The 12,999-nt window shown below is 36.7% G+C and overlaps 1 protein-coding gene across 12 annotated transcripts in view; it reads left to right on the top strand.

The window, feature by feature from the left end:
- The window catches only part of TTC29 (tetratricopeptide repeat domain 29), a 239,248-nt gene that overhangs the window by 115,940 nt on the left and 110,309 nt on the right, over positions 1-12,999 (top strand). For 11 of the 12 annotated variants that reach the window (NR_133922.3, NM_001317806.3, NM_031956.4 and 8 more), the window contains one exon: positions 9,677-9,800. Coding sequence is in view for 10 of the 12 variants with exons in the window: in NM_001317806.3 (NP_001304735.1) it covers positions 9,677-9,800 (124 nt within the window). In the remaining 2 variants the exon portion in view is untranslated. Of the gene's footprint in view, positions 1-9,676; positions 9,801-12,999 lie in introns of those variants that run through there. The other variant, XM_047416243.1, reaches the window with a different exon arrangement.

Genomic DNA, 12,999 nt, shown 5'->3' with positions numbered 1-12,999 from the left:
CAGAAATGCCACAACTTTCCAAAATACTCAGATTATTTAAAAGAATACAGAGAAAAACATTCACAAAAATATGTTTAATACATATTGGTCACAACTAACCCATCTCTGGGTTTATTCCATACCAATTGTAAATTTTCTTGCAAACTCAAGTTAAATTATTTCCTAGAAAACTTTCCACAATGGAGATCTTTAAATCAATCAGTACAAAGTTTCAAGTGTGAAAATTACCTTTCTGTTATAGCTGAAAATTAATTTTTTCTTGCTTGAGAGAAATGACACGCCCTAGTAATTTTCATATATTCTTTAAAATGGAACATCCAGGCTTTGATGTGAAGTTTCCTAAAAATGACCAAAAAATACATCAAAACATATCTATTAATTCATGAAATTAAGAACAGCTTTTTGCATTTTCTCCTGTCACTGATCCCATTTGCCTTATTACTTTCATCTGTGGCCCACAAACTTGGTGGCACAATCAACAAACCCCTTAGTGGCTGTTTCATCTCTGCTCTATTTGATTTCTTCTCTCTGAGTAAATGATTAAGTTTTCATGCATTGGTTCAACCAAAATCTATGTTCACTCAACCACATCCTTTATTGATTACTTCTACTGCAAACAGTAGGCCAAGTGTGATATACATAATTGGACAGTTGTCAAGGGACGTGGGTGTTAACGGTCCTGTTTTCCCAGTTGGAAACTGGAATCACCTTGATACACAAATATTCTGCACTGTTTCATTCTCATTCTTTGGACCGAGGAGTCCTGTTCCTCCGAATATATGTTTTTAACTCTCTAAGGTCTGGTTGAATGAATTTAATGATTATACCATATAATATGCTGTTCAAGTTGCACCTGTGCACTGCATATAGAAAACTGGAATTAATATTTATCTAACATTTTAACCTTGTCCTTTAACTTATACAAATAAGCTGTACCCTTTCTGTAAGAAAATATTTGGTGTTTTCCCCTTCCATAAAAAGAATGGCTTCTAAATCTGTCACTAACTTTTAAATTTGGAAAACCTTTAACCAGCATATAATGTTAATATTTCAGATGTTACATTAACAAGTTTGCTGGCTGTAGACCTATACATTCATTGAGTAAAGCAAATGACTTACAATAATAAGACTTTTTTCTCTAGCATTATTTGTTAGAGCAAGTTCCAGATAATTTTGTATGTTTTGGAGATCTATTGCTCCTTTGGAAGAAAAATGACATGAATTACCCAGCAATAGTTTTATTTATACTATTTTGTGTTTCTCATACTCTAAACTTAGTTTTTTTTGCTTGTTTCTTTGTTTGTATATATCTTGATTTAACAATCCTCAGCAGGCCAAATCTAATTCAAAATGTACTTTCTTCAAAAATATATTGGTTTTTAGAAACATGAACATAAATAAGCTTCAGTGAGTCCATCTTAGCTAAATAATTAATAATAATAATTTTCCCTAAGGTTTTGAAGTGATATTCAGAGAAATCATCATGTTTCCCCCATCAATTTTTTCTTGAATAGTATAGCCTAGGAAAGAGTGTAAAAAATTAACAATTTGATAGAACATTTTTAGCCCTAGAAATCCATAAGTTCACTCAAAATTCTAAATAATGTATTTTCTTTATTAATATTTTATACTCAAGTTCTCTCAATAACTTTTAGTTTCACAAAACAAATATTTAAATTAAAATAATCGGTGAACCTCTCATTATATTTTACTCTATGCCTGCATTTGAAAATTTCCTCCAATAATTCATGATTTTTCTGGAGAATTGACCTATGCCTATATGTGGAAGATCGGTCATAATTTTAGTATGAAAAAGTGAGGACAGAATTATAAAAAGTATTCACAGCTGCAGTAACATAAAATTTCATCCTATTTCTGATATGTAGAAGACTCTTTTACCAATAAGAGGAAAAAAAATGTATTTGATAGTACCTGATACTCAAGTAAACAAAAAATGTTAGCTCTTTGATTTTGCCCCTTAGAAAATAGACACCAGGACTTTATGTGACTGATTTGCAGAGCATACATTAAAATCAAGGATGTTTAATTCATCACATGATGAATGTTTTCAGGAAGGATTGCTTAGCTAAATTGAATTTGCCTCTTGGCTTGTGGTAGACAATGTCAAGTAGAGAGCTGTGAATGTGATAGTTGTTTATTTCACTGAGAGATAATAATAACACTAGTGCCATTTATTGAATCCCTACTACATGCCAAGCTATACATTTACACAATTTTTAATCCCACAGCCACTTGTGGCCATTTTTGAAATGAAGAGACAAAAGTTTTCTTCAGTTTCATAACTTTAGTATGATCAAAGTTATTAATCTAAGAGGCTGAGCTGAGATTCAAACGTACATCTTTCTAAATTCCACCATAACTCATTTTGACTTTAAAGTAATCTAACTTATTTTTAAAAACATATCACTGTTTACCTGTGAAAATGAATGTTTTCCAAACCTTGGGAGGTTATGCAAGGAGATAACCCTAATCCTACCAATACTTGTTTAAAATAAACTTCTTTGAAAATACCTTCTGGGGCATATAGAAATGCTACTGTGGGGGCGGGGCCAAGATGGCCTACAAGAAGCTGGGGCTCCCATCAGAATAAACCATAATAAGTGTGTGAATCCTTCACCAGCAACCAAGTTATCCAGATGCTGTCATCAAAATTGACTAGAAGGCAGGCAGGACCCACGGAGAGAGGGAAGAGCAGTGTGGTGTGGTGGCCCACCTGAGAGCCACATGGGGAAGGGGAGCCCCCTCCCTCCAGCCAAGGGATGTGGGCACAGACATGGATGAAGGATCAAATGGATGAAGTGGCAGAAGTAGGCTACAGAAGATAGGTAATAAAAAACTACGATGAGCTAAAGGAGCATGTTCTAACCCAATGCAAACAAGCTAAGAACCTCGATAAAAGGTTAGAGGAATTCCTAACTAGAATAACCAGTTTAGAGAGGAACATAAACGACCTGATGGAGCTGAAAAACACAGCATGAGAACTTCATGAAGCATACACAAGTATCAACAGCCAAGCAGAAGAAAGCATATCAGAGTTTGAAGGCCACCTTACTGAAATAAGACATGCAGACAAGAATAGAGGAAAAGGAATGAAAAGGAATGAACAAAGCCTCCAAGAAATATGGGACTTCATAAAAAGACCGAGCCTACAAATGATTGGAGTACCAGAGGAGAGGGGGAGAATGGAAACAAGCTGGAAAATACGCTTCAGGATATTATCCAGGAGAATTTTCCCAACCTAGCAAGATAGGCCAACATGCAAATTCAGGAAATACAGAGAATTCCATTAAGATACTCCATGAGAAGATCAAACCCAAGAAACATGATCATCAGATTCTCCAAGGTCAAAATGAAGGAAAAACTGTTAAGGGTGGCCAGAAAGAAAGGCCAGGTCACCTACAAAGGGAAGCCCATCAGACTAACAGCAGACATCTCAGCAGAAACTCTGCAAGCTAGAAGAGATTGGGGGCCAATATTCAACATTCTTAAGGAAAATAATTTTCAATCCAGAATTTCATATCCAGTCAAACTAAGCTTCATAAGTGAATGAGAAACAAAATCCTTTCCAGACAAGCAAATGCTGAGGGATTTTGTTACCACCAGGCCTTTCCTGGTGCTTCCCTGAAAGAAGCACTAAATATGGAAAGGAAAAACTGGTACCAGCCACTGCAAAAACACACCAAAATATAAAGACCAATGACACTATGAAGAAACTGCATTAACTAGTGTGCAAAATAACCACATAGCATTATGATGACAGGATCAAATTCACACATAACAACACTAACCTTAAATGTAAGTGGGCCAAATGCCCCAATTAAAAGACACAGACTGGCAAATTGGATAAGGAGTCAAGACCCATTGGTGTGCTGTATTCAAGAGACCCATCTTACCTGCAGAGACACACACAGGCTTGAAATAAAGGGATGAAGAAAAATTTACCAAGCAAATGGAAATTTTTTTAAAAAAAAAAGCAGGGGTTGCAATCCTAGTCTCTGACAAAGCAGACTTTAAACCAACAACGATCCAAAAAGACAAAGAAGAGCATTACATAATGGTAAAGGGAACAATTCAACAAGAAGGACTAATTATTCTAAATATATATGCACCCAATGCAGGAGCACCCAGATTCATAAAACAAGTTCTTAGAGACCTAGAAAGAGACTTAGTCTCCCACACAATAATTGTGGGAGACTTTAACAACCCACTGTCAGTATTAGGCAGATTAACGAGACAGAAAATTAACAAGAATATTCAGGACTTGAACTCAGCTCTGGATCAAGTGGACCTAGTAGACAGCTACAGAACTCTCTACCCCAAATCAACAGAACATACATTCTTCTCAGTGCCACATGGCACTTATTCTAAAATTGACCACATAATTGGAAGTAAAACACTCCTCAGCAAATGCAAAAGAACTGAACTCATAACCAACAGTCTCTCAGATCACAGTGCAATCAAATTAGAATTCAGGATTAAGAAACTCACTCAAAACTGCAAAATTACATGGAAATTGAACACCTTGCTCCTGAATGACTACTGGATAAATAACGAAATTAGGATGGAGATTAAGAAGTTCTTTGAAACCAATGAGAGCAAAGAGACAACATAACAGAAACTCTAAGACACAGCTAAAGCAGTGTTAAAAGGGCAATTTATAGAACTAAATGCCCACAGGAGAAAGTGGGAAAGATCTAAAATAAACATGCTAACCTCACAATTAAAAGAGTTTGAGAGGCAAGAGCAAACTAATCCAAAAGCTAGCAGAAGACAAGAAATAACTAACATCACAGAAGAATTGAGGGAGATAGAAACATGAAAAACCCTCCAAAAAATCAATGAATCCAGGAGCTGGTTTTATGAAAAAATTAATAAAATAGATAAACTGCTAGCAAGACTAATATAGAAGAAGAGAGAGAAGAATCAAATAGACACAATAAAAAATGATAAAGGGGATATCACCACTGACCCCACAGAAATACAAACTACTAACAGAGAATATGGTAAACAACTATACACAAATAAACTAGAAAATCTAGAAGAAATGGATAAATTCCTGGATGCATACACCTTACCAAGACTAAACCAGGAAGAAGTTGGATCCCTGAATAGACCAATAACAAGCTCTGAAATTGCGGCAGTAATTAATAGCCTAACAACCAAAAAAGCCCAGGATCAGACAAATTCACAGGTGAATTCTGCCAGATATATGAAGAGGAACTGATGCTATTCCTTCTGGAACTATTCCAAACAATTTAAAGGAAGGAATTTCCTCTAACTCATTTTATGAAGCCAGCATCATCCTGATACCAAAATCAGGAAAAGACACCACAAAAAAAAAGAAAATTTCAGGCCAATATCCCCGATGAACATCAATGTGAAAATTCTCAATAAAATACTGGCAGACTGATTCCAGCAGCACATTAAAAACTTACCCACCATGATCAAGTCAGCTTCATCCCTGGGATGCAAAGCTGGCTCAACATAAGCAAATCAATAAATGTAACCCATCACATGAACAGAGCCAATGACAAAAACAACAGGATTACCTCAATAGATGCAGAAAAGGCCTTCGATAAAATACAACACCCCTTCATGTTAAAAACTCTCAATAAACTGGGTATTGATGGAACATCTCTCAAAATAATAAGAACTATTTATGACAAACCCACAGCCAATATCATATTGAATGGGTAAAAGCTGAAAGCATTTCCTTTGAAAACTGGCACAAGACAAGGATACCTTCTTTCACCACTTCTATTCAACATAGTATTGGATGTTCTGGCCAGGGCAATCAGGCAAGAGAAAGAAATAAAGGGTATTCAAAGAGGAAGAGAGGAAGTGAAATTGTCTCTGTTTGCAGATGACATGATTGTATATTTAGAAAATCCCATTGTCTCAGCTCAAAATCTCCTGAAGCTGAGAAGCAACTTCAACAAAGTCTCAGGATACAAAATCAATGTGTGAAAATCACAAGTATTCCTTTACACCAACAGTAGGCAAGCAGAGAGCCAAATCATGAATGAACTCCCATTTACAATTGCTACAAAGAGAATAAAATACCTAGGAATGCAGCTAACAAGAGATGTGAAGGACCTCTTCAAGGAGCACTACAAACCACTACTGAAGGAAATAAGAGAGAAAACAAACAAATGGAGAAACATTCCATCCCCATGGATAGGAAGAATCAGTATCATGAAAATGGCCATACTGCTCAAAGTAATTTATAGATTCAATGCTATTCCCATCAAACTACCATTGACATTCTTCACAGAATTAGAGAAAACTATTTTAAATTTCATGTGGAATCAAAGAAGACCCCATATAGCCAGGACAATCTTAAGCAAAAAGAACAAAGCTGGAGGCATCATGCTACCTGACTTCAAACTATACTACAAGGCTACAACCAAAACAGCATGGTACTCATACCAAAACAGACATATAGACCAGTGGATCAGAACAGAGACCTCGGAAATAACACCACACATCTACAATCATCTGATCTTCAAGAAGCCTGACAAAAACAATCAATGGGGAAAGGATCTCCTATTCAGTAAATGGTGCTGGGAAAACTGGCTAGCCATATGCAGAAAACTGAAACTTGACCCCTTCCTTACACCTTATACAAAAACTAACTCAAGATGAATTAAAGACTTAAATGTAAAACCCCAAACCATAAAAACCCTAGAAGTAAACCTAGACAATACCATTCAGGACATAGGCACAGGCAATGACGTCATGGCAAAAACACCAAAAGCAATTGCAACAAAAACAAAAATTCACAAATGGGATCTAATTAAACTAAAGAGCTTCTGCATAGCAAAAGAAACTATCATCAGAGTGAACAGGCAACCTACAGAATGGGAGAACACTTTTGCAATCCACCCATTTGACAAAGGTCTAATATCCAGAATTTTCAAGGAACTTAAATATATTTACAAGAAAAAAACAAACAACCCCATCAAACAGTGGAAAAAGGATATGAACAGACACTTCTCAAAAGAAGACATTTATGCAGCCAACAAACATGAAAAAAAGCTCAACATCACTGATCTTCAGAGAAATGCAAATCAAAACCGCAATGAGATACCATCTCACGCCAGTCAGAATGACAACTATTAAAAAGTCAGGAAACAATAGATTCTGGTGAGGCTGTGGAGAAATAGGAACACTTATACACTGTTGGTGGAAGTTAAATTAGTTCAACCAATGTGGAAGACAGTATGGTGATTCCTCAAAGATCTAGAAGCAGCAATATCATTTGACCCAGCAATCCCATTACTGGATATATACCCAAAGGATCCAGAAAATGATTCAGTAAACCTACATCATTCTACTATAAAGACACATGCACACATATGTTTATTGCAGCACTATTTACAATAGCAAAGACATGGAACTAACCCAAATGCCCATCAATGATAGACTGGATAAAGAAAATGTGGTACATATACACCATGGAATACTATGCAGCCATTGAAAGAATGAGATCATGTGCTTTGTGGGGACACGGATGAAGCTGGAAACCACCATCCTCAGCAAGTTAACACAGGAACAGAAAACCAAACACCACATGTTCTCACTCACACAAGTGGGAGTTGAACACTAAGAACACAAGGACACAGAAAGGAGAACAACACACACCAGGGCCTGTTGAAAGGTGGGGATTGAGGGGAGGGAACTTAGAGGATGGATCAATAGGTGCAGCAAACCACCATGGCCCAGGTAGATCTATGTAACAAACCTGTGTGTTCTACACATGTATCCCTTTTTTTTTTTTTTAAAAGAAAATACTTTCTGAACTTGCAACATGTTCTTTTAAATAGCCCCAGTTGAGAGGTGGGTTCGGTCTTTAGAAATAGCTAAAAGAATTTGGAGTCACACTTAGAAAACCCAGAAAAAAAAAAAAAAAAAAAAACACTAGACATGTTCTTACGAGGATAGGTGAGTGAATGTACTCCAGGTTTCAAAGCACTGTATACAAGTCAGTACCTGTCACAATTGATCCCATGTATGAATTTATACACTTATTTCTCCAAATTGACAGTGAAACTCTTCAAGCACAGGAACCTTATTCCCCAGCAACTAGCAAATTTTGGGACATTTGCTAGGCTCCCAAAGTTTCTTGATGTTACTGGAATATCCAAGGGTCAGGAGTTTACAATCATAGACTCCAAACATCTATATGCCTTAAGGTTCTCACAGTTTACCTGGATGCTTAGCTTTCATGTGTGCAGCATATGTGTCTCCCTTCTCAAATTTTCAACATTACTTCATTGAAAAATGTATTAATGCTTACTATATGCCAAATTCTCTGCTAGAAATTATATGTCTTCCTGAACATTTTGTGAGGATATGTAACACTTGTATATGTGACTTTAGTGACACCTGAGCTTTCACTACCAATGAAAGCTTTCAAGAGTAAGCTAGTATTCGCCTTTTATAAACTTTTAAAAGTTTTTTTTTAAAAACAGCTTTAGTGAGACATAATTCTTATGCTATACAATTATGACTTTAACAATTGTAGACTTTAAAAGCCTTCAATTTAAAAGAGTCCTCACTTTAAAAATTTAAAGTCTACAATTCAGTGGTTTTTAGTGTACTCATGGGGTTGAGCAACCATGGCCGCTATCTAATTTCAATCACCCTAAAAGGAAACCTTGTACCCATTATTTGTCATTTCTCAATCCTCCACTTTCCTCAGCCTCTAGCGACCACTAGCCTACTTTCCATCTCATGGATTTGCCATTCTGGACATGTCGTATAAATGGGCTTATATGGTGTGTGATCTTTTGTTGTCTGGCTTCTTTCACTTAGCATATTTTCAAGTTTCATCCATGTTGCAACATGTATCACTACCTCATTCTTTTTTTTTTTTCTTTCTGAGACAGGAGTCTTGCTCTGTTGCCCAGGCTGTGATCTCAGCTCACTGCAAGCTCCGCCTCCCAGGTTCATGCCATTCTCCTGCCTCAGCCTCCTGAGTAGCTGGGACTACAGGTGCCCACCACCATGCCTGGCTAATTTTTTATATTTTTAGTAGAGATGGGGTTTCACCATGTTAGCCAGGATGGTCTCAATCTCCTGACCTCGTGATCCGCCCACCTGGGCCTCCCAAAGTGCTGGGATTACAGGCATGAGCCACCGTGCCCAGCCTACCTCATTCTTTTTTAAGACTGAATAATATTTCATTGTAGGTATACAACACATTTTGTTTACCCATTCATCAGTTGATATACATTTCAATTGTTTTCATGCCTTGGCTATTATGAATAATGCTGCTATGAACTTTCATGTATATGACTTTTTGTGTTGACATATTTTTGCTTCACTTGGGTATATATTTTGGAGTAAAATTTCTGGGTCATATGGTAACTCTATGTTAAAGTTTTTGAGGAACTTCCAAGCTGTTTTCCCCAGAAGATGTACCATTTTACATTTCTGTTAGCAATGCATGAGGATTTAAAAGTTTAAGTTTTAACTCAATGTGTGCTCCAAGAAAAACAAGCCATATATTTTAATTTGGTATTTACACATTAAATCTTATTATCCTGATAACCATCTTGCATTTTCTACAGCAAAGACACAAGATACTTCCTCTTTACTGTGACATTAAGTGAGATGATACTCCATTGACTTCCTATTTCATTCATTCTAGCCAAGGAGAGATGACAGAAGCAATTAAATACTTGAAAAAATTTGTGAAAATTGCAAGAAACAATTTTCAAAGCCTAGATTTGGTGAGAGCAAGTACAATGCTTGGGGACATCTACAATGAAAAAGTGAGTCTATGTGTTTCTTGTTTATAGAGAAATTTGCGGTGTTTAGGGAGAAATTTCCCATTTTAAAAGTATCTTCTCATGTCATCCTTGTCTTCCCACAATATATTATGCAGAATGGCCCTGGACTGCAGGGTGTAGTTAATGTCCATGGCAAGGACTAGTAGGAGAAATGCCTCCTCCTCCTTCTCCTTTTCCAATATCTTAGGGCCATGCGGGGACAGTCCTTATGAGCTGCTAACCCTGATTCATAGATTCACATCCAGTGAGGATTCTAAGTGACACAGGATTTGAGGAGCAATTAAAATATTTAATTCAAAGGAAATTGATTATAACTGTTGGCTATTATCTGCTTCCACTGACATTCATCTCTCTCGCTCCAAATTCTTTATTAATCCAGCTGTGGCACCCTGCTAGTTTCCTTAGAAGAAGAAACGACAATCCTAAAAATAATTCTGCAGAAAATTTAGAGTGGATTTTAGCAACAGATTCATTACATGAAAGAGAAAACAGGAAGAAGAACAAAAAAGTCCAAAATAAAATTATCCAATTCAAGAAGCTGTTATTAGTAGAATGTACTGGTCACAATGGACTTTTGTCGTATTTTCTCCTGATTTTATCTTTTTATTACCGATTCTCCTTTAGAAATAGTGTGAAAGAGCCTTGTTTCTCTAGTTATAATTGCTGTTTTGATCATGAATAAGATCCATCATTTTTAGGGTAATTATGTTCTCAAATTATGTTTATACACTTTCTGTTAATCTCTTTCAGAGTCTGTGTATGTAGTGAATAAAATCACTAATTCCAAAACCACACTGCTTGAGTTAAAAACCCAGCTCTTTCACTTGTAAGATCTGTGACCTTGGGCCAGTTACTTAAATTTCTAGGTGCCTCGGTTTTCTCACCTCATAAAGTTATTGTGCATATTAAGTTAACGTATGTGCTTTACAGCTGGAGAAGTACTATCTTTTTTTTATTTTTTTATTTTTTTATTATTTATTTATTTATTTATTTTTATTATTGTTATACTTTAAGTTTTAGGGTACATGTGCACAATGTGCAGGTTAGTTACATATGTATACGTGTGCCATGCTGGTGTGCTGCACCCATTAACTCGTCATTTAGCATTAGGTAACTCGTCATTTAGCATTAGGTATCTCTCCTAATGCTATCCCTCCCCCATCCCCCACCCCACAACAGTCCCCAGAGTGTGATGTTCCCCTTCCTGTGTCCATGTGTTCTCATTGTTCAATTCCCATCTATGAGTGAGAACATGCGGTGTTTGGTTTTTTGTCCTTGCGATAGTTTACTGAGAATGATGATTTCCAATTTCATCCATGTCCCTACAAAGGACATGAACTCTTCATTTTTTATGGCTGCATAGTATTCCATGGTGTATATGTGCCACATTTTCTTAATCCAGTCTATCATTGTTGGACATTTGGGTTGGTTCCAAGTCTTTGCTATTGTGAATACTGCTGCAATAAACATACGAGTGCATGTGTCTTTACAGCAGCATGATTTATAGTCCTTTGGGTATATACCCAGTAATGAGATATCTGGGTCAAATGGTATTTCTAGTTCTAGATCCCTGGGGAATTGCCACACTGACTTCCACAATGGTTGAACTAGTTTACAGTCCCACCAACAGTGTAAAAGTGTTCCTATTTCTCCACATCTTCTCCAGCACCTGTTGTTTCCTGACTTTTTAATGATCACCATTCTAACTGGTGTGAGATGGTATCTCATTGTGGTTTTGATTTGCATTTGTCTGATGGCCAGTGATGATGAGCATTTTCTCATGTGTATTTTGGCTGCATAAATGTCTTCTTTTGAGAAGTGTCTGTTCATATCCTTTGCCCACTTTTTGATGGGGTTATTTGTTTTTTTCTTGTAAATTTGTTTGAGTTCATTGTAGATTCTGGATATTAGCCCTTTGTCAGATGAGTAGATTGTGAAAATTTTCTCCCATTTTGTAGGTTGCCTGTTCACTCTGATGGTAGTTTCTTTTTCTGTGCAGAAGTTCTTTAGTTTAATTAGATCCCATTTGTCAATTTTGGCTTTTGTTGCCATTGCTTTCGGTGTTTTAGACATGAAGTCCTTGCCCATGCCTATGTCCTGAATGGTAATGCCTAGGTTTTCTTCTAGGGTTTTTATGGTTTTAGGTCTAACGTTTAAGTCTTTAATCCATCTTGAATTAATTTTTGTGTAAGGTGTAAGGAAGGGATCCAGTTTCAGCTTTCTACATATGGCTAGCCAGTTTTCCCAGCATCATGTATTAAATAGGGAATCCTTTCCCCATTGCTTGTTTTTCTCAGTTTTGTCAAAGATCAGATACTTGTAGATACATGGCGTTATTTCTGAGGGCTCTGTTCTGTTCCATTGATCTATATCTCTGTTTTGGTACAAGTACCATGCTGTTTTGGTTACTGTAGCCTTGTAGTATAGTTTGAAGTCAGGTAGCATGATGCCTCCAGCTTTGTTCTTTTGGCTTAGGATTGACTTGGTGATGCGGGCTCTGTTTTGATTCCATATGAACTTTAAAGTAGTTTTTTCCAATTCTGTGAAGAAAGTCATTGGTAGCTTGATGGGGATGGCATTGAATCTATAAATTACCTTGGGCAGTATGGCCATTTTCACAATATTGATTCTTCCTATCCATGAGCATGGAATGTTCTTCCATTTGTTTGTATCCTCTTTTATTTCATTGAGCAGTGGTTTGTAATTCTCCTTGAAGAGGTCCTTCACATCCCTTGTAAGTTGGATTTCTAAGTATTTTATTCTCTTTGAAGCAATTGTGAATGGGAGTTCATTCATGATTTGGCTCTCTGTTTGTCTGTTATTCGTGTATAAGAATGCTTGTGATTTTTGCACATTGATTTTGTACCCTGAGACTTTGCTGAAGTTGCTTATCAGCTTAAGGAGATTTTGGGCTGAGACAATGGGGTTTTCTAGGTATACAATCATGTCGTCTGCAAACAGAGACAATTTGACTTCCTCTTTTCCTAATTGAATACCCTTTATTTCCTTCTCCTGCCTAATTGCCCTGGCCAGAACTTCCAACGCTATGTTGAATAGGAGTGGTGAGAGAGGGCATCCCTGTCTTGAGGTACTATCTTTATAAACTTCTGTTTTTCTCTACACCCTTAGTGGTATCAAACAATTCCCCTTTGCCAGACCCTCAGATAATTCTGGGTGGCAA

Source organism: Homo sapiens, chromosome 4 (assembly GCF_000001405.40).
Source record: "Homo sapiens chromosome 4, GRCh38.p14 Primary Assembly".
NCBI lineage: Eukaryota > Metazoa > Chordata > Mammalia > Primates > Hominidae > Homo > Homo sapiens.
Note: the sequence above shows the minus strand (reverse complement) of the source record. Positions and strands in the feature narration are given on the sequence as shown.